At 50.6% G+C, this 22,493-nt stretch overlaps 1 long non-coding RNA gene and 2 other non-coding genes across 5 annotated transcripts in view, besides 13 other annotated features; all 3 read left to right on the top strand.

Annotated features, from left to right (window-relative positions):
- MIR193BHG (MIR193b-365a host gene) overlaps nt 1-22,493 on the top strand; it is a 29,682-nt gene that overhangs the window by 390 nt on the left and 6,799 nt on the right. The window contains exon 1 of one of the 3 annotated variants that reach the window (NR_132983.2): nt 474-827. The exons of 1 other annotated variant lie outside the window; for it this stretch is intronic. This is a non-coding gene — a long non-coding RNA (MIR193b-365a host gene). Of the gene's footprint in view, nt 1-473; nt 828-22,493 lie in introns of those variants that run through there. One more of the 3 variants, NR_132984.2, reaches the window with a different exon arrangement.
- Nucleotides 255-744: a silencer, noted in NCBI's record as "silent region_7229". NCBI's record gives its function as "represses an Ori minimal core promoter by ATAC-STARR-seq in GM12878 lymphoblastoid cells {active_cell/tissue: GM12878}" and the evidence as "EXISTENCE:reporter gene assay evidence [ECO:0000049][PMID:35858748]".
- Nucleotides 1,029-1,189: a silencer, noted in NCBI's record as "fragment chr16:14396656-14396816 (GRCh37/hg19 assembly coordinates)". NCBI's record gives its function as "represses an EF-1alpha promoter that drives an FKBP-Casp9 reporter gene in an ReSE screen in K562 erythroleukemia cells {active_cell/tissue: K562}" and the evidence as "EXISTENCE:reporter gene assay evidence [ECO:0000049][PMID:32094911]".
- Nucleotides 1,029-1,334: a biological region, named in NCBI's record as "ReSE screen-validated silencer GRCh37_chr16:14396656-14396816".
- Nucleotides 1,095-1,334: a silencer, noted in NCBI's record as "silent region_7230". NCBI's record gives its function as "represses an Ori minimal core promoter by ATAC-STARR-seq in GM12878 lymphoblastoid cells {active_cell/tissue: GM12878}" and the evidence as "EXISTENCE:reporter gene assay evidence [ECO:0000049][PMID:35858748]".
- MIR193B (microRNA 193b) lies at nt 2,197-2,279 on the top strand. The gene has a single exon (NR_030177.1). It is a non-coding gene; the product is annotated as a microRNA 193b (primary transcript).
- Nucleotides 2,288-2,337: a silencer, noted in NCBI's record as "silent region_7231". NCBI's record gives its function as "represses an Ori minimal core promoter by ATAC-STARR-seq in GM12878 lymphoblastoid cells {active_cell/tissue: GM12878}" and the evidence as "EXISTENCE:reporter gene assay evidence [ECO:0000049][PMID:35858748]".
- Nucleotides 4,700-5,385: an enhancer, noted in NCBI's record as "H3K27ac-H3K4me1 hESC enhancer chr16:14400327-14401012 (GRCh37/hg19 assembly coordinates)". NCBI's record gives its function as "activates a minimal SCP1, AML or CMV promoter by ChIP-STARR-seq in naive and primed H9 embryonic stem cells {active_cell/tissue: H9 hESC(naive and primed)}" and the evidence as "EXISTENCE:reporter gene assay evidence [ECO:0000049][PMID:30033119]".
- Nucleotides 5,386-6,070: an enhancer, noted in NCBI's record as "H3K27ac-H3K4me1 hESC enhancer chr16:14401013-14401697 (GRCh37/hg19 assembly coordinates)". NCBI's record gives its function as "activates a minimal SCP1, AML or CMV promoter by ChIP-STARR-seq in naive and primed H9 embryonic stem cells {active_cell/tissue: H9 hESC(naive and primed)}" and the evidence as "EXISTENCE:reporter gene assay evidence [ECO:0000049][PMID:30033119]".
- Nucleotides 6,866-6,915: an enhancer, noted in NCBI's record as "active region_10492". NCBI's record gives its function as "activates an Ori minimal core promoter by ATAC-STARR-seq in GM12878 lymphoblastoid cells {active_cell/tissue: GM12878}" and the evidence as "EXISTENCE:reporter gene assay evidence [ECO:0000049][PMID:35858748]".
- Nucleotides 7,515-7,601, top strand: MIR365A (microRNA 365a). Its single transcript, NR_029854.1, has one exon. It is a non-coding gene; the product is annotated as a microRNA 365a (primary transcript).
- Nucleotides 8,682-8,976: a silencer, noted in NCBI's record as "tiled region #11785; K562 Repressive non-DNase unmatched - State 5:Enh". NCBI's record gives its function as "represses a minimal TATA promoter and a strong SV40 promoter by Sharpr-MPRA in K562 cells {active_cell/tissue: K562}" and the evidence as "EXISTENCE:reporter gene assay evidence [ECO:0000049][PMID:27701403]".
- Nucleotides 8,682-9,096: a biological region, named in NCBI's record as "Sharpr-MPRA regulatory regions 8431 and 11785".
- Nucleotides 8,802-9,096: an enhancer, noted in NCBI's record as "tiled region #8431; HepG2 Activating non-DNase unmatched - State 25:Art". NCBI's record gives its function as "activates a minimal TATA promoter and a strong SV40 promoter by Sharpr-MPRA in HepG2 cells {active_cell/tissue: HepG2}" and the evidence as "EXISTENCE:reporter gene assay evidence [ECO:0000049][PMID:27701403]".
- Nucleotides 8,888-9,007: an enhancer, noted in NCBI's record as "active region_10493". NCBI's record gives its function as "activates an Ori minimal core promoter by ATAC-STARR-seq in GM12878 lymphoblastoid cells {active_cell/tissue: GM12878}" and the evidence as "EXISTENCE:reporter gene assay evidence [ECO:0000049][PMID:35858748]".
- Nucleotides 9,108-9,247: an enhancer, noted in NCBI's record as "active region_10494". NCBI's record gives its function as "activates an Ori minimal core promoter by ATAC-STARR-seq in GM12878 lymphoblastoid cells {active_cell/tissue: GM12878}" and the evidence as "EXISTENCE:reporter gene assay evidence [ECO:0000049][PMID:35858748]".

A 22,493-nucleotide genomic window follows, 5' to 3' on the forward strand; every position in this document is an offset into this window, starting at 1 on the left:
AAGCGCCTTTGGAGGACTCCAGCACGCCCCTCGGGAGGGAAGCCCGGCCTCGGTTCCGTCTGTGGGCTGCGGTGGTACTGGAAGTGGGGACTCTTTCCCCCTCCTCCGTGCCCCCTGTTTGAAGCACCCCGGGCTCTGCCCCCCGCCCCCAGGGTCGAGGCTGACGTCGCCGCCGCATTTCTAGGAATGCCCCTATCCGCTGACTATATTTGGCGAGCGTTTCTAGGAAGGCGCCCCCCCACCCCGGCCCCCGCCCCCACCCCCACCCCCACCCCCACCCCCACCCCCACCCGGGCGGGCGCGCTAGGCTTCCAGGCTCTCGCCCTCTCTGCCTGGCCGGGGAGGAGCCGCCCCGCCGCCTGGGCCGCTGCCGCCGCCGCCTCCCCAGCGCGGCCAACCCCGGGCCGGCCCAGCCCCCGCCCCGGGCCGGCCATAGGGCGCTGGGGGGTTGGGGGGGGCGGGGGCGCGGCTTTGTGGCGGCAGCGGACCGTGGAGGCCGGGTGCAGCCCCGTCGGCTGCGCGCTCTCTGCAGAAAAGGATTTTCTACGCTCCCCGCCCATCACTTGGATCTCGTCTGGGGAGGGGCGGATTTTTTTTCTGGAAGTACCCTTCTTCTCCACGGTGGAGGATTTAAGGCTGGGCTCCAATCGAGGCGGAGGCTGCAGGGCCCGCGGGGCGCCCCCCGCCCGGCGCACGCCTGCCCGGAGCCCGGGAAGGCGCAGCCCTGGGTGGGGGGGCCCGTGCACCCCCGGAGGCGGCAGCGGCGGTGAGTGCTCCCCTTCTTCCCGCCTGGCACCTTCCGCCAGCCAAGGCAGGGATCGCGGCAGGTGGGTGCCCAAGCCCCCAGGGCCGAAGGGGTGTGGGGCGGCTGTCTGCGGGGTGGATGGGAACGGGAGAGGGGAGGTGGCGGCGGGGGAGCGCGCGGTTCTCTCGGGACTCGGCGCGAGACGCTTGTCTGGGCTGCGATTGCCGCCGCTGCCGCCACCCCGGCTCCCCCTCGGACCCCTCCCCCGCTCCCCAGAGGGGCGTGTGAAGCCGGGAGGTAGGAAGGGGGCGAGGCCGCCCCCAGCCTCCCTAGTGCCTGGGCTTGGAAATTGACGAGGCGGTGGAGCGTCCGCGTCCCCGCCCCCACCCCGGAAAGCCCGCTCGGGAAACTGACTCGCTGCGTGACCCCGATCTCAATGCCGCGCGCGGAGCAGGCCGGCCGCGCCCGCCGCTCCACGTGCGCCCGAGCCCCGCTGGCATGGGCGGCGGCGCCTGCGGGGGCCGGGCCCCGGGGATCCCGGACTAGCCGGGAACCACCGTCCCCAGAGAGTTACCGCCGCCCCCTAAAGTTGTCAGCTCCCTCCCCCCGAGAAGCAGGCAGCCCTGGCGCGTTGGCTTTAGCTTCTGCAGGACGGGGGCAAAAAAACTAGGTTCCGGGGTGCGGAGCGGGGTGTCTGTGCCCGAGACAACACCAAGTTAGGAAAAAGAAGTTAGAAAAAAAAAGAAAAAGGCATTTTGATTTGGGGGTGGGGGGAGTGGCGTTTCTGGTTTCTCTTTGCTTCCAATCCCCACCAAGCGGAGCGTTGGAATGCGCCGCTTATGTCCTCTGAGGACACATCCATATTTATAATTTATTTTTAGGAGAAGTTGTGAAAAAGGGAGGGGGGTTAAAATGAGGAGAAAAGGTGCGTGGGGGAGTGGCCTTTCCAGAACCTAGAGGCTAATTAAGCTATTAAAATGGAAATCATTTCCCCCAACTTGGGCGCGCAGCAAATTTGACTTTAATGAGAGACGATTAAGGACACAAATAACCAAACTTTATTTAGCTGGAGATGGGGTGGGGGGAACTGTACGAGGCACCTCGGACACCCGATTTATCCGCTGCTAAGGGACGTTTGGGGCACCCCTCGTGTTGTCCGGGAAGCTTTTAGGCCTGTTTGCTGGGCGAGATTGGTGATTGCTCCGGGAGGGAAGAGACACCCCGGGATCAAGCGATCCTCTTGCCCTCAGCCATGGTGTGGCAAATGTCCCCTCCTCCCACAGCGACCCCCTGGCATTTTGGTGAGATGAACCGCCGCCCTGAGGGAACACCCAGTAACGATTCCTTCAGTGATCCCGGTTCTCCAAACTCTTGCCTCAAAGGCGGCCTGCCCCGGTGCTGTCAGCCGTGAATGGGGACTCACTTCTTGGGAAAAGAGGCTTTTGGAGGCTGTGGTCTCAGAATCGGGGTTTTGAGGGCGAGATGAGTTTATGTTTTATCCAACTGGCCCTCAAAGTCCCGCTTTTGGGGTCATTCTGGACAGCGAGGGACTCAGGCCCCGGCAGTCTCGGGAGGGTGAGGGCAGAGAGCTACCACCCCCAGGGAGCGCGTCCAAAACCCGGCTGGCGGGGGGGCGGGGAAAGAGGGGGAGGTTTGCTACTTTCCATAAAACTAAAAGGTCCCTTCGAGGGCGGTATTCTTATAAGTGTGTGTTCTCAGTTTGCCGAACCTACTGTGTTTTCCAAGGGCTTCTCTCCTTGGGAGGCCGAAAAACGATACAAGGAGGAGAAAGTACATTCCCCCTGACCACCCCCACAGTGGTTTAAGGGACAGTATTGGATTGGAAAGGAATTAGTAGGATGTCAATTGTGGCAAAGTGTTTGAAGCCCCCAAATAAGGCGCTCCTGAAATGATGAATTGTAACGACATTAGATTTGTCTTTACGTTTGCTAAATTAGGAGAAACCAGCTGTTTGCTTCCACCTGGAATTGCAACATTTCTTTGCAACTCTTTGCTGTTGAAGGCGTTCTTTTTGTTCTGTTTTGTTTTGTTTGTTTGTTTGTTTGTTTTTTGGGGACAGAATCTCGCTCTGTCCAGGCTCTGACCAGGCTGGAGTGCAGTGGCGCGATCTTGGCTCACTGCAACCTCTGCTTCCCGGGTTCAGGCGATTCTCCTGCCTCAGCCTCCCGAGTAGCTGGGATTACAGGCGCCCGCCACCACGCCCGGCTAATTTTTTTGTATTTTTAGTAGAGACGGGGTTTCACCGTGTTAGCCAGGATGGTCTCGATCTCCTGACCTCGTGATCCGCCCACCTCAGCCTCCCAAAGTGCTGGGATTACAGGCATGAGCCACTGCACCCAGCCAGGCGTTTTATAGAAGGCTGGATAATACGTTCAGGGGAAGTCTCTAAAGCAAGGGTAGTGTGTATAAATCCCCGTCGCAGAACATTAACCTTCAGTTGTGTGTACACACACACACACACACACCCTATATAGTTGTAACCTATATAGACTTTCACACATCCTAAGTTATTTGCAAGTCTAGATTTAAATTAAGTCTACATAGCAGGGAATAGAAAAGTGAGCTGTACCTGGAAAAAACCTTTGAACACAGCGTTCTTGATACAAGATTTAGGATTTGAAAGACATGGCACATGTACACACAGATGACATTTGTGCTGCCTTGGCAAAAACAGTTCTTTACTTCCAGAGTTCTTTCTCTTTAGTATGGGACACGATGAAACAGCACAATTTTCAGGAGTCCACAATTCCAGCGAGGCGCGTGGATGGGAAATTGTCACGTTGTGAATTGTGTTTGTGCTTTGCTAAATCGCCACCCGGAGCTGACTGTCAAATCCTATTTGCTTTGCTAAATAAGGATATCTCATCAAATTAGCCTTTAATGATACTTCTACAAATAGGGTGTTTTACATGAATTAACGAGGCCGGAACACTGACTGTTTCTCCAAGATACTGAGCTATAATGGAGGCGACGAAGCCGAATGTTAAAATTACTGAATTGTTAAGTGTGCAAAATCAGACAGAATTTAGTGCTAAATGTGAAACAATTTCTGCTTTAATGGTGAGCATTCGCAACAGCACAAGCATTACTTATATTCAGCCGTCTGAAACTGTGCATGTAATTATGAATACATTTAACAAACTTTAACCCCCCTCTGAGTCTGGAAACAGTCTAGTATGGTGAAGAGATTATAAATCAGCATTTTGCAGTGAGAAGTCATCATTAATTCAGCAAAGAATCACAGCTTCTTTTCAGATCCTTCCCACCACCCTCCTACACACCCCCCTCAACCAATAAGGAAAAAAAAAATTCAGCATGGAACTGCTGGATACACTGAATATATTTTGGCTTTTCTCTTTTTGCCTCTGTGTGAGAAACTTCATTAAGCAGTTGCTGTTCCCTCCCCACCCCCGCTAACCCCCAAAGAAGTGTGGATTTAAGAAAAAAAAAAACAAAAAACAAGCAACTTTGAATTTTGTTCTTAGCAATCCCCAAGCCATAGCTGATCTCAGAGAGGCAAAAAAGATGTTTCAATAGAAAAGAATACGGTATGGCCAGGAGTAAAATATTTAGAGGTGGTTCTGCAATGAATATGATACTTCCTTAAAAATAAAATATATGTTGGTGATTCAAACCAATGAAAGTTGGAAAAGTCCCTCCAAGGGAACACTCTCTCTGTTTCCCTTCCCAGCAACCCCCCAACTTAACGTTATGAACAGAAAGATGGAAATTCTTGCCAGATCAACTATAGCCTCCTAACGATCAGCTCACCCTCCTTTAATTTTGATTGTGGAGCAAATACAGCTATTTTAGCCATGAGGATAAAAATGAGTGCAGTGAAAAGTTAAGGCAAACTTGGTACTTAAAATCACTCACCAGAATAAAGTGCGTGTACAAACAAAACATTGCTGATCAGTTACTTTAAGCAGGCATTTTCTTTCTCGCCTGAGCACCCCAAACACAGAAAAATGTAGAGTTCTTTTTGCTTCTTGTATCTGGAGCAGGTGAAAATAAACCCTGACGCTCACAAACATGATATAAACAACATACTTTTCAGGCCTAGTAGCCAAGCCGACTTTTCAGGGAAAGAGATGGACGTTGAAAGAATTTAGGAGTGGACTTGGGGTTCCCTCCATCACCCCATGCCCAGCTGACCCCTTCTGCCCTTCTCATGACCTCTTTTCAAAGCAGCCAGTGTTCAGATGCTGCCTTTCCAGCGTCCCCAGTTGTAGGGGACATATGCACATATTTACCAAGCTTTAAAATAAGGTTTCTGATTTTATATCATCCGTCTGAGTTTACGGAACCACAAAGCAAACTTCTTTCTCCGTGTCCCTGAAATGCTGCCCCACTGCAGCAAAGGGGACTTCGCCTGGGCAGGGAGAGGAGTTAGTGGCTGGTTGCGCCTAAGGTTAGCTGTGCGGTGTGGTATGACAGTTTTCTCAGAGATGTGCAAAAATCTAGGCTCTCTTGCTGGAATCGTGTGAGATCAGTGCTGGGCCTGTTGGCATTGGCATTTGTGCCCAAGACAGCCCAGACCTCTGCCAGCCGAGGCCCAGATGTGGCCTCAGAGCCACTACTGGTGCCCAGACAAGTCCAGACAGGTGCCTGGGGGTCTTTCCTCCCGAGACGAAGCCTGCAGCAGTTCAGCCAGAAGATGGGGTATTTGGCTCTCAAAGTCAGCCTCCCCAGAGACTCTGCAGGGTTTAATAGCCTGGTGACCCTGTGGGCTCTGGCGAGGGCAGAACCCCACTTTGCTTTCCAAATGCTCAAAGGGGAACAGATGAGGCTATCCCACAGGCTCAGAGCAAATCTGTCCTGTGTGAGTGCAAACGTGGTTCTAGAAGATTCAGAGGCAAAGCTGAGCTTTTGCAGCCCAGCCCCAAGCCCTTGCTCTCGAGCACCAGGGCTGCGATCCTTCGACTTGGGGTGGGCCTAGGAGGCGTAGCTCCCAGCCAGCAAGACAACACATAACACATCTGAGTTACCGTGCATGTGTTTGCTGGTCTCTTCTCCAGCTCCGTGAGGCCTCCCACCTGGGAGCTGAGCCTTTTGCTTTGATCAGGCTGGGAGGAAAACCTAGGCCAGGAAGGGCCGGGCTGCAGGCTGGAAGTGGAAAGAAGTGGGCCAGGTGGACAGAAAAAGGGGCCACCAACTAAGCCACCTTGGGGGTCGGCCCAGAGTGAGAACTGGGCTGGCATTCTGGGTTCAAACACACAAGAAAACTGTCTGCAGCCTCTCTGCCCTGGCACCAACATGTGCCTGCTCCAGGAAGTTGCACCCAGCCCTGAGTCAGCCAAACCCGTGGGACTCCCATTTGGCCCCAGTAACTGGACTCCAGGCTACCAAAGGCCTCGTGGGTTCTCGATCGTATCTTAGAATGGCGTTAAAAGGTCCAGACCCGGCACCTGTAGGCCATGCCGTATTTAGCCCTAGGTTCACCCGGAGAATATTTTAGGTGCTACTTGAAAGAAGAGATCTGGGCCCTAGTTGCCGGCTGTCACATGGCAAGGGTAGAATCGCTCCCTCACAGACCTGGCCGAGATGGCCGGGTGCTCACTGGTACAGGTGCCCAGAGTCCCTGCCAGAGCTTCGGGGCCATGCGACGGGTGCCAAGGAGCCAGCTAGCGACTGGGGCGTCGGTTCTGTGTGGGGATGCCTTTTCACCCCGTTCTCAATCTGAAGGCAGTGAATCCACTTCCATTCACAGAACTCACAGAGGCCTCTCCTCTCTGAGATGGCCCAGTGTGATATCCCAGGCTGCGTAGTAAGCTCCTCCTCTGGTGTCAGCCATGTGGAGGGGTTAACCCTTTCCTGGCTCTGAGGGTGCTGGCTGGCACAGGGGGCACCCACCTGCAGGGCCTCAAAGGTTATATGCCTTGGGGAAGACACCCTGAACTCCTTAGTCCTCAGATCTTAGTGGCTGAACCAAGAGATGGCACCTGGGACCTTAGCAGTAAAACCCGTCCCCTTTTTTTTGAGACAGTGTCTTACTCTGTTGCCCAGGCTGGAGTGCAGTGGTGAGCACAGCTCACTGCAGCCTGAACTTCCTAGGCTCAAGCCTCATCCTCCTGAGTAGCTGGGACTACAAGCACACACCACCACACCTGGCTATTTTTTGCAGAGACTTGGGGGGGGTCTCACTGTGTTGCCCAGGCTGTTCTCAAACTCCTGGCCTCAAGCAGTCCTCCCACTTTGGCCTCCCAAAGTGCAGGGATTACAGGCGTGAGCCCCCACGCCAGCCGGTTTGCCCCTTTTGCACCACCAGCGATAACCACTCAGCTCCCCTACCCAAGCCTTAGTCCTTCTGTCCGTGTTGTGGAAACCAGGTATTTTCATCAGCATTTCCAAGGGGACTAAGTTTCTCCCATTCCAGAGGAGGAGGTGTTGAAGGATAACTTAGATCATTAATGAGGGTCTGGAACAGTCATCTGAAGTTTGGGGGAAACGTCACGTCTCCTATGATGCGCCTGGCTTTAGGGAATAATCCTTGTATCCATTTTGGGAACCTGCTCTGGGATTCCAGATCTGTGGTTTTCTGAGCACGTCTGTGTGGAAGCTGCTGCACTGAGACCTATTTAGCCAATTATTGAGAAGATGAGGTCCCTTTCGTGAGTCTGCACGGAGCCGCCGTACACCATGAAAGCGCTCACTTGTTTAAAGTTTGCTCTAACTTTGTACATTTTTTCCTTTTTAGTTTTGGCTCTTGGTGCTCTGAGAGCTACCACTTCCTGCCAGCTGGTTCGTTACCGCAGGGAAAATGAGGGACTTTTGGGGGCAGATGTGTTTCCATTCCACTATCATAATGCCCCTAAAAATCCTTATTGCTCTTGCAGTATTCCTCGGGGGTCCCTGGGCCAGAAAGACATCAGCTCGGAGTTCCTCCAGCAACTCAAAGAAGAGAGAAAGCTGTTCCCCAAACTCTTCCGCTGTAGCGCCTTCTGGGTCCCTGGTAGATGCCTTCTTGTGCTCAAAACCGGTTATCACTGTGAAAAATTGAAAGACGCCATGCGCAGACACTGGTTGCTAAACGTGCTTTTGCCCTCCAGGGGCAGACGCTGAGATCCGGCCTGGGAAGGAGTACAGCTGTGGCTCCCCATCAGCGTCAGCATTTGCTCTGGGGGGTTGTAGGGGGAGGTAGGGAAAGCGGAAAGAAACAAGTGTTACCTGTTTGACGAGGCCTGGTCCTTGCAGCCAGGGCCTCCGGGATCATCGCCTTGGCAGGGGGCCCTGGGGCAGTCCTGGCTTTCCTGCTAGCTCCCTGAGACAGAACACTTTCCCCGCTCGCTGCCTCAGTTTCCCCATACACCAAGGGAGGGGCAGCACCCCCTGCTCTGGCTTCAAAGGGTTCTTGGATGTAGCCAATGTTATATATAAAAAGCTCTAACGTTGTATAAGCTCTGAAGGTGCTTTGAAAATTGGAGAGTCCATGCATTAAACATGGAAGGTAATAATATGAATACACACAGAGGAATTCATGGGTGGGGAGACGGCAGCCCAGCACTGAGCCTGGGTTTCTGGGATCAGCCAGGCCTGCATTCCAGCCCGAGCTCTGCGCCTCTCTTGCTGTGTCACCCGGGACAAGTGAGTCAGTCTCTCTGAGCCACCAGCTCCTCAGGCATGAAACCTGTAACTCAGACTCCCAAGTCTGATTTGCACATCTCTGATTTTAAGCGGCGCCGGCTAAAGGTGAAAATTATTCTAGTAGGTATTCTTTGCACCGCTGATTTGTACTTCAGGCAATTGGTTGGTTTTCCATTTAGGGTCGGGAGACAGGGGCCCTTTTTTTGTCCATCAATTGATGTCAGTTAAACAAAAAAGAGTGGGTGTTTTGGAAGAAAAATATTAAGCAACTACAGCTGCCCTGAGGATGGGACAGAAATCAGAAAGTCGTGTGTAAAGTTTCAGAGGTCCACTTTTAGAGAATTCTTGTTTATCTCAGGGATTTTCCGCACTCCTGTAGTCGGTGTGGGGAGGGGTGGGGGGAGATGGGGGAGTTGCCAGTTCAGATCTGTAGAGGGCTCCAGCATGACAAAACTGGGTGTCACACATCTTCCTTTTGGGGGTCGGGAAACCACCCTTCCCTGCTCACCGACACCACTGGGACCCCTCACCCCCCCACTCCTGCATTGATCCATAGCTCAGATTTCTCTCTCATTTTAGGGTCACGATGACTCAGCACCCTCCTTTCTGGCCAGGGCACCTCCCTTGGCCTCTAGGGGCACTTGCCTGACAGGCCTCACTGTGCCGGACCTGGGAGCCAGCTGCCCACCAGCCCCCTGGGACTCTGGTTTTGCAGGGAAACCATGGGTGATCAGTCCCAGCCGGCAGGGGCCAACTGCGGTTTCACTTTCTGCTGCATCATGGGGTGGGGGGTGGCAGCGGGCCCCCGCTGGCCAGCTAGAGCAGGCACTGAGAGGCCTGCAGACAGCTGCCGGCCCTGCTGCCAGAACGCACCCCCCACCCACCCCCTGCAGCCTGCCAGGATGGGGGCTGGGCTCTCAGGAGCCCCTTAAATCTTTCCACCTGCACAGTGTCGGGGACCTCAAGTGAGAAAAGCCTGGAGCCGATGAGATGGTTTCCTGAGCTGTTGGAGATTCCCCCAAAACAACCTTTTTTTTTTTTTTTTTTTTTTTAATTGAGACAGGGTCTCTCTTTGTCACTCAGGCTGGATTGCAGCGGTGCAGTCAAAGCTCACTGCAGCCTCGAACTCCTGAGCTCAAGCGATCGTCCTGCCTCGGCCTCCCAAAGTGGTTGGGCTACAGGTGCATGCCACCTAGTCCTGCCCAAAACAAGCTTGTAAATCACGCAGGCTAGAAACTCAAGAGAGCTGTGATTGTTGCTTCTGGGTCAGATTGCTGTGGCTAGACACTGCTTCTGCCCTTCCTTCCCTGGATAGATGGCTGCTGAGGCCCTACTGTGTGCGGAGCTGGGTGCCAGGTGCTGGAGGTACAGCAGGGAGCCAGACAGCCCCTGCCCGCATGGGGCTCACAGTTGAGTCAGGGGAGACAGACAAAAGAATCAAAGAAATAATCCAGCCGGGTGCGGTGGCTCACGCCTGTAATCCCAGCACTTTGGGAGGCCAAGGCGGGTGGATCACGAGGTCAGGGGATCGAGACCATCCTGGCTAACATGGTGAAACCCCGTCTCTACTAAAAATACAAAAAAGTTAGCCGGGTGTGGTGGCGGGCGCCTGTAGTCCCAGCTACTCGGGAGGCTGAGGCAGGAGAATGGCGTGAACCCGGGAGGCGGAGCTTGCAGGGAACGGAGATTGAGCCACTGCACTCCAGCCTGGGCAACAGAGCGAGACTCCGTCTCAAAAAAAAAAAAAAAAAAAGAAAGAAAGGAAAAAAAAGAAATAATCCCACGTTACGATGGAAATTTCACGCTGAATACTTGGTGTTAGGATCTCAGGAAGGGATCATGCATACATGTCTGTCATGAGTCAACTCCCAGAACACATAGCATAGGAGGCAAGGGAAGGCTGCCCCTTCACCCGCTAAAAGTTTGCTAAAAATAACTGACAGGCCAGGCATGGTGGCTCACGCCAGTAATCCTAGTACTTTGGGAGGCCGAGGTGGGAGGATCACTTGAGCTCAGGAGTTCAAAATGTTCCTGGGCAACATAGTGAGACCTTGTCCCTATTTTATATTTATTTTTTAAAAGTTTTTACCAAAGAAATGACTGACAACAAGTGGATTAATAGGAGAAAAAAGCATATGAGCCGGGCGTGGTGGCTCATGCCTGTAATGCCAGCACTTTGGGAGGCCGAGGCATGAGGATCACGAGCTCAGGTGATCAAGACCATCCTGGCTAACACGGTGAAACCCCGTCTCTACTAAAAATACAAAAATTAGCCAGGCGAGGTGGTGCACGCCTGTAGTCCCAGCTACTCGGGAGGCTGAGGCAGGAGAGTGGCCTGAACCCGGGGGGCGGGGCTTGCAGTGAGCCGAGATCGCCTCACTGCACTCCAGCCTAGGCGACAAGAGCAAGACACCATCTCAAAAAAAAAAAAAAAAAAGAAAAAGGCATATGAATTTATTCACCATGCATAAACGCCAGGGGAGTGGCGGGAGAATGATTATCCAATAACCCAGTGAAGTCCATCGCTGGGCACAGTGGCTCACACCTGTAATCCTGGCAGTCTGGGAGGCCGAGTCAGGTGGATTGCTTGAGGTCACTAGTTTGAGACCAGCCTGGGAAACATGGTGAAACCCTGTCTCTACCAGAAATACAAAAAAAAAAAAATTAGCCAGCCTTGGTGGTGCACACCTGTGCTCCCAGCTACTCGGGAGGCTGAGGTGGGAGGATCGCTTGAGCCCCGGAAGCAGAGGTTGTAGTGAGCCGAGATCACGCTGCTGCACTCCAGCCTGGGTAACTGAGACCTTGTCTCAAAAAAATATAAAAATATAAATAAATACTTCCGTCATAGAAGGGAGATGGGGGAAATGCGGCCACTCTCAGGGGTAGTAAATGATTTTTAGGAGGAATGAATGGGTCTGATGCTGGGACAACGGTCAGTGAATAATTCCTTTAGGGAGTCGAATGGGATCGGAGGACAGATGATAGTTTGGGATGAAGTCCGTCTGCACTCCAGGTGTGGTGTTTCATTTCATTCTCTTCCTCTGTGATATGAGTTTTCATCTCTGGTTAATGAAATTTCAGTGAAGGAGTCGAAGGCAATTGTGTTCCTCTTTGGCGGGTGTGGTTTCCAGGTAGATAAGGGAACTCCAGATAGCAGGCTCCTCCTATGCTTTGGGACGGACAGAGGATGGAGAAACAGGATTGGGGGTGGGGGCGGGGGGGTGGTGTTGGAGAGACCTTGAGGCTGCTTCAGTTGAGCACATCAAAGAGCCATATTTTGGGGTACCGTTTTCTGAGCCCCAACAATAGGTAGGGTTAAGAATAGAGACCTGGGAGCCAGCTGTCCTGTGTTTGAACTTGACTCTTCTACTGAGTGGTCGGGTGACCTCTGCCAAGATACTTGCCCTCTTTGTGCCTCAGTTCCCCCATCTACAGTTACTAGAATATTAGGGCACAGCATAGGGATGTGGTGAGGATGAAATACATGAACGTCTGTAAAGAACTAAGCACGGCGCCTGACATTGATGATGTGCTATATAAGTCTTAGCTATTATATAAGAATAATAAATGTGAACTATTATTGTAAGATGAAATGCGCCAGCCACAGCAGGCCAGGAACATCAGTAATGTGGCCGAGCCTGTCCTCTGTGCGAAACGCTTTACAGGCCCTCATCTCACCTAATGGCCACAGCCAACCTGCAGGTGAGCCTAATTGACATCTGAGGCTGGGGAAACTGAGGCTCAGGCCGGTGAAGAGAGGTATTTAAGGTTAACCAGCAGGCAAGCAGTGTGACCTCAGATGCAGGGCTGGTTTCCAGGGGCTGGGACCCACGCTTAGTTGACTGCTTTGAGGCCAAGGCATGGGAATTGCTTGAGACCAGGGGTTGCAGACCAGCCTGGGCAACATAGCCACACTCTCATTTCTTTAAAAACAAAAACAAAAAAATGACCCAGGCATGGTGGCACGCCCCGGTAGTCCCAGCTACTCAGGAGGCTGAGGGGGTAGGTTGGCTTGAGCCCAGGATGTCCAGGCTGCAGTGAGCTGTGATAGTGCCACCTTAACAATTTTGCTCCAGCCTTACTAACTTTGGAACAAGGGGCCTCACATTTTCATTTTGCAAATTATGTAGCCAATCCTGCCCTGATCTAAAGTACTCCAGAGCTGTCACTCTTAACTCCTACCAGCCATATATCACACAGCCAGGCCCACAGTCACCTTCCAAGTCATCAGGATGGTGTTTTGTAGTAGGACTGAGATCCTGGGAGAATGTGAAGACTCCTTATGGGGCTGAATTGCCAACATTAAAAGGCAGGCGGGGCAGTTGCTAAGGGCAGAGGGCATCACTCCTTCATTGCTGTATCCTCAGGGCCTGGTCTGTGTTAGATGTTCAGTTAATAGTTTTAACATGAAGCCAGTGAATCGGAGACTGCTCTATCTCCCCGGACCCAACCTACTTAAATGACACCTTCCAGGGAAGCAAGTCAGTGGTGCAGTGTCAGATGTCAATCATCCCGAACACCACCCTCCATCCCCCAGTAGACTTCTGGACAGCCCCTGAGGGTCCCCTAAGACCCTCCCCCTGCCCCAAACCTGTGTGCCCACACCTTGGAGTAGATTCCTGCTTAACGGGCTCTGGTGGGGGGTTCAGAGGTAACACAAGTATTTAAAGGCATGTGGAGGCCAGGCGCGGTGGCTCACACCTGTAATCCCAGCACTTTGGGAGGGCAAGACAGGTGGATCACCTGAGGTCAGGAGTTTGAGACCAGCCTGGCCAACATGGTAAAATGCCGTCTCTAGTAAAAATACAAAAATTAGCCTGGCCTGGTGGCGTGCGCCTGTAATCCCAGCTACTCAGGAGGCTGAGGCATGAGAATCGCTTGAACCTGGTGGCGGAGGTTGCAGTGAGCCGAGATCTCACCACTGCACTCCAGCCTGGGTGACAGTGAGACTCCATCTCAAAATAATTAAATTAAAAATAAAGGCATATGGGCTTGGCTTCTCGAGTGCCTATAGTGGGGAAGAGGCAGAGTATAGCCCAAAGAATACTTGGATGTTAGTTCAGGCAGGTTCAAGACCCAGCCAGGGGTCATGGGTTATGGTCTTCTGAATTGGTTAATGAGAGGGTTTGAAGGAAAGATTCCTTTTCCTCTGAAGTTGGAAGTTTATTGACACTCAAAACTCCTAAATGGTACTAAGAAGCAAAGAATGGTTTCAAAAGCCTAGAAGATATTTATAACAAAACTTTTTTTTTTTTTGAGACAGTGTCTCAGTCTGTTGCCCAGGCTAGAGTGCAGTGGTGCCATCTCAGCTCACTGCAACCTCTGCCTCCAGGGTTCAAGTGATTCTCCCACCTCAGCTTCAGTAGCTGGGATTATAGGCACACACCACCGTGCCCAGCTAATTTGTGTATTTTTAGTAGAGATGGGGTTTCACCATGTTGGCCAGGCTGGTCTCGAACTCCTGACCTCAAATGATCTGCCCGCCTCAGCCTCCCAAACTGCTGGGTTTACAGGCGTGAGCCCCCACACCTGGCCAATATATTTTTATAATGTTCTTTGCCAGCTGTTTGCACAGGTATGATCCATTGTTTCAAATAATGCTGTGAAGCAGAAGCTGTCCTCACTTTCTAAATAACATCATAACCATCGATATGTATTGAATGCTTTGTATGTACTAGGCGCTGCACCTGTATGAAGTCAGTCATTTCAGTTGCATAAGCAACATATAAAAAGGGATTATTGGTATCTCCAGCTTACTGATGAGGAAAGAGAGATGCACTGACGTCCAAGGCCACATACCCGGCATGTGAGGAACTGGGGCTCAGGCCTGGATCTTCCATTCCAAGGGTCAGCAGCCCATTTCTGTAAAAGGCCACATTGTGAAGATTTTAGCCTTTGCAGGCAATACAGTCTCTGTTGCAGCTGCTCAACTCTGCCTTTTTTTTTTGGTTGGGAGGGACGGAATCTTGCTCTGTTGCCCAGGCTGGCGTGTGGTGGCGCAATCTCGGCTCACTGCAACCTACGATTCCCTGGTTCAAGTGATCCTCCTGCCTCAGCCTCCTGAGTAGCTGAGATTACAGGTGCCCGCCACCATGCCCAGCTAATTTTTTTTTTGTCTCAGTGTTTTATTTTTTTATTTATTATTATACTTTAAGTTCTAGGGTACAACGCCCAGCTAATTGTTGTATTTTTAGTAGAGATAGGGGTTTCAGCATGTTGGCCAGGCTGGTCTCCATCTCCTGACCTCGTGATCCACCCCCCTCGGCCTCCCAAAGTGCTGGGATTACAGGTGTGAGCCACCGTGCCCGACCAACTCTGGCATTTTAACTCAAAAGTAGCCACAGATAGTACACAAACAAACGGATGTGGCTGTGTGTTGCAATAAAACTTTATTCACAAAAACAAGGAGTGGGCCAAACTTGGCCCACAGGCCGTATTTCCTGACTCCTGTTCCAGAGCAAAAGCTTATCCTTCAGTTAGAACATCATGAACTTGGCCCTGGCAACGTTCTTTTCTCCCCACCTGTGAGGTGACAGAGTTATGTTTCGGAACAGATGACCACTGTCTCTGGAGAGGTTAGGTTGGCTCCTCCTTCTTTGAGGGAATTCTGCAGCTCTTGGAAATTAGATCTATTAGGATTTCTTGGTGACAGCCACAATAGAATACCCTGGGGATTTCAACATTGTAATTTTAGTAGCTGTCAACTGAGTAACTTTTAAAGAGGAAAGAAAGTGTGGTAGTTCAGAAAAATACCTCAGTGGTTCACTTTGCCTGTGGAAGCCATTCTTTAAACTGAGAATAAAAATCTTTTTTTTTTTTTTTTTTTATAATCAGTGTCTTGCTCTGTTGCCCAAGCTGGAGTGCACTGGTGCCATTATAGCTCACTGCAGCCTTAAACTCCTGAGCTCAGGTGATCCTCCTGCCTCAGCCTCCTGAGTAGCTGGGACTACAGATGAACATCACTCTTGGCTTTTTTTTTTCTTTTTTTTGAGATGGAGTCTCGCTCTGTCGCCCAGGCTGGAATGCAGTGGTGCGATCTCGGCTCACTGCAAGCTCCGCCTCCCGGGTTCACGTCATTCTCCTGCCTCAGCCTCCTGAGTAGCTGGGACTACAGGCGCCCACCACCACGCCTGGCTTTTTTTTTTTTTTTTTTTTTTTTTTTGTATTTTCAATAGAGACGGGGTTTCACTGTGTTAGCCAGGATGGTCTCGATCTCCTGACCTCAGCCTGCCAAAGTGCTGGGATTACAGGCATGAGTCACCGTGCCCGGCCACTCTCGGCTAATTTTTTTATTCTTTTATAGAGTCGGGGTCTCACTACGTTGCCCAGGCTGGTCTTGAACTCCTGGCTTCAAGTGATCCTCCTGCATCAGCCTCACAAAGTGCTGGAATTGCAGGCGTAAGCCGCCATGCCCGGCTGAAAATAGCTTAAGACAGAATGGCAGGGGTGTGTGTGTGTGTGTGTGTGTGTGTGTGTGTGTGTGTAGGGAGAGGGTGGAGAAGAGAAAGGGAATTTCCCAAGAGGGCAGAGAGCTGGAGCCAAAGGATTCCTAGCAGGAGGGTCAGAGAGGAAGGTGTGACTTCTTTTTTTAAACAGCTTTATTGAGAGATTATTCACTTAACGTACACTTCACCCATTTAACATGTATGATTCAATGTCTTTGAGTGTATACACAGAGTTGTACAACCATCACAATCAATGTTAGAACACCATCAACTCAAAAAGAAACCCTGGGCCCAGCACTTTGGGAGGCCAAGGCAGGCGGATCATCTGAGGTCAGGAGTTTGAGACCAGCCTGGCCAACATGGTGAAACCCCGTCTCTACCAAAAGTACAAAAATTAGCCAGACGTGGTGGCGTGTACCTGTAATCCCAGCTACTCAGAAGGCTGAGGCAGAAGAATCGCTTGAACCCCGGAGGCGGAGCTTGCAGTGAGCCGAGATCATACCATTGCACTCCAGCCTGGGCAACAGAGTGAGACTCCATCTCAAAAAAAAAAAAAAAAAAGAAAAGAAACCCAGAACCCTCCCGCATCCTAATCCTCCAACGCCCCCAACCCTGAGCAATCACAAATCTACTTTCTGCCCCTGTGGATTTGTTTATTCTGCACATTTCCTATAAATGGAATCACACAATTAATGCGGTCCTTTGTGACTGGATCCTTTTACTTAGCAGGACGTTCTCAAGGTTCAGCCACACTGTAGCATGGATCAGAACTTCATTCCTTCTTACAGCTGAATCATATTCTGTATTATGGATGGGCCACCATTTTGTTTAACCACTGTCAGTGATGGACATACGGGTTGTTTACACTTTTTGGCTGCTATGAATAATGCAGCAATGAACATTCATGTGTTAGTCTTTGTGTAAACAGATGCTTTCATTTCTCTTAGGCATATAGGTCAGAGTAGAATTGCTGGGCCATAAGGCAACCCTATGTTTATCATTTTGAGGAACTGCCAGGGGCAAGTCTTAATATATTGCCTTTTTATTTTTAATTTTTGTTTTTATTTTCTTGAAACGGGGTCTGGCTCTGTCACTCAGGCTGGAGTGCAGTGGTGCAATCACAGCTCACCACAGCCTTGAACTCCTGAGCTCAGGCCATCTGCCTGCTTCAGCCTCCCGAGTAGCTGGGACCACAGGCACATGCCACTATGCCTGGCTAATTTTTTATCTTTTGTAACAATGAGGTCTTGCCATGTTGCCAGCTGGTCTTGAATTCCTAGGCTCAAGTGATCCTTCCACTTTAGCCTCCCAAAGTGTTGGGATTAGAGGCATGAGCCACTGTGCCTGGCCTTTATTGCCTTTTTTTTTTTTTTTTTTTTTTTGAGATGGACTCTCGCACTGTCGCCCAGGCTGGAGTGCAGTGGCGCCATCTCAGCTCACTGCAAGCTCCACCTCCCAGGTTCACGCCATTCTCCTGCCTCAGCCTCCCGAGTAGCTGGGACTACAGGCGCCCACCACCACGCCCGGCTAATTTTTGGTATTTTTAGTAGTAACGGGGTTTCACCATGTTAGCCAGGATGTTCTCGATCTCCTGACCTTGTGATCCGCCTGCCTCGGCCTCCCAAAGTGCTGGCATTACAGGCGTGAGCCACTGTGCCCGCCTTTTTAAACTTTGTATTATAGAGTTTAAATTGTGAGTGATGGCTCACACCTGTAATCCCAACACTTTGGGAGGCCAAGGCCAGAGGATCACTTGAGCCCAAGAGGATGGGACTACAGTCAGCTATGATCACATCACTGTACTCCAGCCTGGGCAACAGAGCCAAACCCTGTCTGTAAATAAATAAATAAAACCCCACCACTATGTATTATGGAAATTTCCCACCATACCTGAAAGTAGTATGTGGTATGTAACAAGCATCCAGTATTCATCATCCAGGTTCGACACCGCTCGGCTTTTGCCTGTGTTCTTTCCCACTGAGTATTTTAGAGGCAGCATCGCACTTGATGTTGTTTCTTTGTCTGAGAGCTCAACATTTTCTTTTGTCCCAAAGCTTCCAAGTCTCCTGCACCCACATCCTTGTGTGGGATGGGATTTGGGGAGAATGGATGAACTGGGGCAGAATCAATGTGGGGAAGGAAGGGAACAGCCCCTGAGAGGGGCAGGCCTGGCTACCTAATTTGCAGGACCCAGGGCAAAATGAAAACGGGAAGCCCTTTGTTCAAAAATTATTATAAAGTTGAAGACAGCAACAGCATGGGCTTGTGTCACTGCACACGTTCCATGCCTCCGATGGCTATGACGGCTAGCCTTCTCCTGAGGCCAGCAAAAAGGTGCCCAAGCAGAACTGATTAAGGGGACGCAGGAATTTATAGAGCCTCAGGTGTCTGGGTGAGACAGAAGTGCGCCCCTCACCTCCAATCCCTGGAAAGAATCCGAGGATAGTTGGGTCTTCCCTGGCATGTGAGACAAGATTCAAGCCCATTTCGTTTGAATTTCCAAAAATAAGATGACCCCAGCTGACGTGGGTCATGAGCACTTGAAAAAAAAAAATAACCATTTGGCCGGGCGCGGTGGCTCATGCCTGTAATCCCAGCACTTTGGGAGGCCGAGGCGGGTAGATCACGAGGTCAGGAGATCGAGACCATCCTGGCTAACATAGTGAAACCCCGTCTCTACTAAAAATACAAAAAATTAGCCGGGCGTGGTGGCGGGCACCTGTCGTCCCAGCTACTCGGGAGGCTGAGGCAGGAGGATGGCGAGAACCCAGGAGGCAGAGCTTGCAGTGAACCGAAATCACGCCACTACACTCCAGCCTGGGAGACAGCGAGACTCCGTCTCAAAAAAAAAAACACAAAAAAAAACACAAACATTTGTCTTAAGCCTTCTTCCCTTCTTCCCTAAGCGCCCACAGTTGTTTTATTTGGCCCCACCATTTTGTCCTGGATTCTGAGTGTACTGTGATATCCCAGCAGATGACAGGGCTGCAGTCTTAAAAACAGAGGTTCCCTGGTTAGCAAAGGACACAGAGCAAGACCAGGAATGCCCAACATGGCAGGTGGCCACGGGAGACATTGCCAACCACTCACTCATGGCGCCCAGTCCCTCTGAGCTCAGACAGAACTCCATTAGCTTTGCCAAAGGATCATCTTTACTCAAAACACCCAGAGATTCGGAACCTCCAGTGTGTGTTGGGTTGACACCCAGGGACTTATACTAACAGGACCCAAGGTGTACTTACGCTAACAGAGCCTTGTCATGAAGGGTTATAGGGTGACTGGCAAAGGAGAGGAGAGGGTGACAGAAAGGGACTCATTGAGAACAGATGAGAACTGTGCAGCTCCTCCTGTTCTCTGGAGGATGTTCATTCATTTCACTACCTGTGTACCTACTGTTCATAGGCGCTGGGGACTGAGCATGAGCTGTATCGTAATCAAGACAGGTGAGGTTCCGACGCTTATGGGCAGAGGCAACCATAAACCAATGACTAAAAAACCATTTTAAATCTGATCAAAATCGCATAATGACAAAAAAGAACTACAGCAACAGGTCTGAGTAAATCCCATCCGGCAGCTCTGGCGTTTGTAGAAAACCAGAGTGGGAATTTTTTTTTTTTTTTTTTTAAGACAGAGTCTCGCTCTGTCGCCCAGGCTGGAGTGCAGTGGCGCGATCTTGGCTCACTGCAAGCTCCGCCTCCCGGGTTCACGCCATTCTCCTGCCTCAGCCTCCCGAGTAGCTGGGACTACAGGTGCCCGCCACCCCGCCTGGCTAATTTTTTCTATTTTTTAGTAGAGATGGGGTTTCACTGTGTTAGCCAGGATGGTCTCGATCTCCTGACCTCGTGATCCGCCTGCCTTGGCCTCCCAAAGTGCTGGGATTACAGGCGTGAGCCACTGCGCCTGGCCCAGAGTGGGATCTTAAAGCAGAGTCTGGCTCAAGATTGAGACAATTCCCAGCAGAATGAATGGAGCAGTAACACAGTCAGAAGGCCCTGAGGGAGGCAGGTGGCTCTCTCTGTTCCTGCCAGCACTCTCTCCCCCACTTCTGATAACAGACCTGCCGTACCATGGGAAGATGGCCAAAAATGGCCGCCCACGGTACTTGTTCCTCGGCTACAGTAATTGGTCCATGTGTAGGCATGTGACCCATCATGACCAATCATAGCAGCCCACTTCTGAGCGGGGGCACAGCAATTGTTCCAGGTGTAGTCATGTGACTCAAGCAGGGCGAATTCAGGATTGTCTGCAGAGCTTGTGGGGAGGATGTTTCTTTCTCTCCCTCCTCCTCTCTGGCATCCAGGCCTTAAAGAGGTAGACTTGGCACTACCAGTGGCCTCAGACAATAAGGCCAATAAGCAGAGAGGAGGAGAAATGAAACATGAGGTGAGGGGGTTAGGACAGGAAGAGAACCCAGAGCTTCCAGTCCCTGGATCCTAGAGAGCAATACAGCCTCTTCCCTTTCCTCATCGTAGCTACCCAGTGAATAAATCCCTCGTTCTACCTCATTCAGATCAACTTCAGTGCCTGTTGTTTGCAACCCACAGTGTCCCAATTCAGGACTTGGGAACTGTTTTCCTTTTCATGGATTGTGTAGAACTGAAAGGGATACGTCATTCTCAGAACTTATATTCTTGTTCCGATGTGCCAGCTGTACTTAAAAATAAAAGAATCCCAGACCCATCTCCATGTTCACCACCACCCCTCCTGTTAATTTCCTGCTGAATTGCAGCTCAACGCATGTGCTGGGATTTCAAGTCCTGCCCTAATCAATTTACTACCACCTCCCCAACCTTAACCCCAACCTACACGCACCTTCCTACGCTGGCCTGTGCGTGCAGCCTGCCCTGGCCTCTACTGTGACGCCTACCACGTTATATTTGTAATGATTTGTTTATGACTGTCCCCATACTAGGGAAGGCATCGAGCTTGAGGAAGAGGCCCCATTCATCTCCGTACCCCAGGCCCTGGTACACAGCAGGCAGGTAGCAAGTATGGGAGGGAGGTGGGGGAGGAAGAAGGGGGAAAAAAGGGAGTTCCTTCCTATTTTCTCTCTAGTCCAACCAATGTGTCACTCATAGGCTCAAGTTCTGTATTCGTTCCCTATACCTGTCTACCTGTTTTCCTTTTTCCCTTTTTTTTTTTTTAATGGAGTTTCGCTCTTGTTGTCCAGGCTGGAGTGCAATGGCGCGTTCTCAGCTCACTGCAACCTCCGCCTCCTGGGTTCATGCAATTCTCCTGCCTCAGCCTCCCCAGTAGCTGGGATTACAGGCGTGCACCACTATGCCCACCTAATTTTGTGTGTCTGTGTGTGTGTATATATATATATTTTAGATATTATATTATATATGTGTTTTTTATATATTATATATATATATATACTTTTTTTTTTTTTTTTTTACTAGAGATGGGTTTCACCATGGTGATCAGGATGGTCTCGAACTCCTGACCTCAAGTGATCCACCCACCTTGGCCTCCCAAAGTGCTGGGATTACAGGCGTAAGCCACTGTGCCCAGTCCCTATTTTCCTTTTTCTACCTGTCTGCCCTCAGGTAGACACAAACCTCATGCCCTCACCACCTTCAAGCCTCTACTCCAGTCTACTCCAGTACCCCTTCCCTGACCCCCGGGTCCCTCTTTTTTGTTTTCTCACTCTCTGTAGCACCTTCTACCACCATCCACCCTCCTCCGTGTTTTATTTATTTTGTTGATTTCTCCTTCATTGAAATGTCAGCTCCAGGCGGGCACGCATCTTTGTTGTGTTCTCTGCTGACTATATCCTCAGCACCTAGAACTGTGTCTGTCACCTAATAGATGCTCAGTAAGTATCTGGAATGAATGGATTATTTGTGTTTGCCAACATACACAGGTCTACCAAAGTTGTTTTCTCATGTACCTGTGCATTTCATGCTTCTAATAGGTATAAGGGAAGTCTGGTTATATCTTTTCTTCCTGGGACTGCTATAACAAATTATCACAGACTACAGGGCTTAACACAGCAGATTCATTTCAAAGTTCTGGTGGCCAGAAGTTGTAAATCTAGCAGGGCTGCCCTCCCTCCAGGCACACTAGGGAAGATGTGTGTCTTGTCTCTTCCACCTTCTAGTAGCTCTGGCGTTCCTTGGCTTGTGGCCGCATCACTCCGGTCTCTGCCTCCGTCTTCTTACCTTCCTCTTCTCTCTGTCCTGGTCTCTGCTTCTCTCTTTTAAGGATACATGGATTGCATTTAGTTCCCATCTGGATAATCCAGAACAAATGCCTCCTCTCAAGATCCTTAATCAGTCTTTTTCCAGTGATTCAGTTTGAAAGCAGACATACTTACTATCTCTCTGGGGGCTGCCATTTAGCCTACTGCAGGTTATCTGCATAAATAAATCAGAAAAGCAGAGATTCTCACCTCCTCCCAACTCTGTTGTCCTAGCAGGCATGCAATAAAGAGAGTATCATTGCGGTATTATTATTATTACTACAGCTCAGAGTGTGGAAATGATTTTTTAAACACCATTGTATGTTCTTTAATTATCCCAAATTTTAAAAATGAAACTATGCCTATAGTAAGAAAAAATACAAAAGAGAATAAGGTGGAAATAAAGGGGCGATTTGCCTTTTTTAATTTATTGTGTTTAGAGACAGAGTCTCAGTCTGTCACCCAGGCTGGAATGCAGTGGTGTGATCATAGCTCACTGCAGCCATGAACTCCT

Source organism: Homo sapiens, chromosome 16, assembly GCF_000001405.40.
Source record: "Homo sapiens chromosome 16, GRCh38.p14 Primary Assembly".
In the NCBI taxonomy this organism is placed as follows: domain Eukaryota; kingdom Metazoa; phylum Chordata; class Mammalia; order Primates; family Hominidae; genus Homo; species Homo sapiens.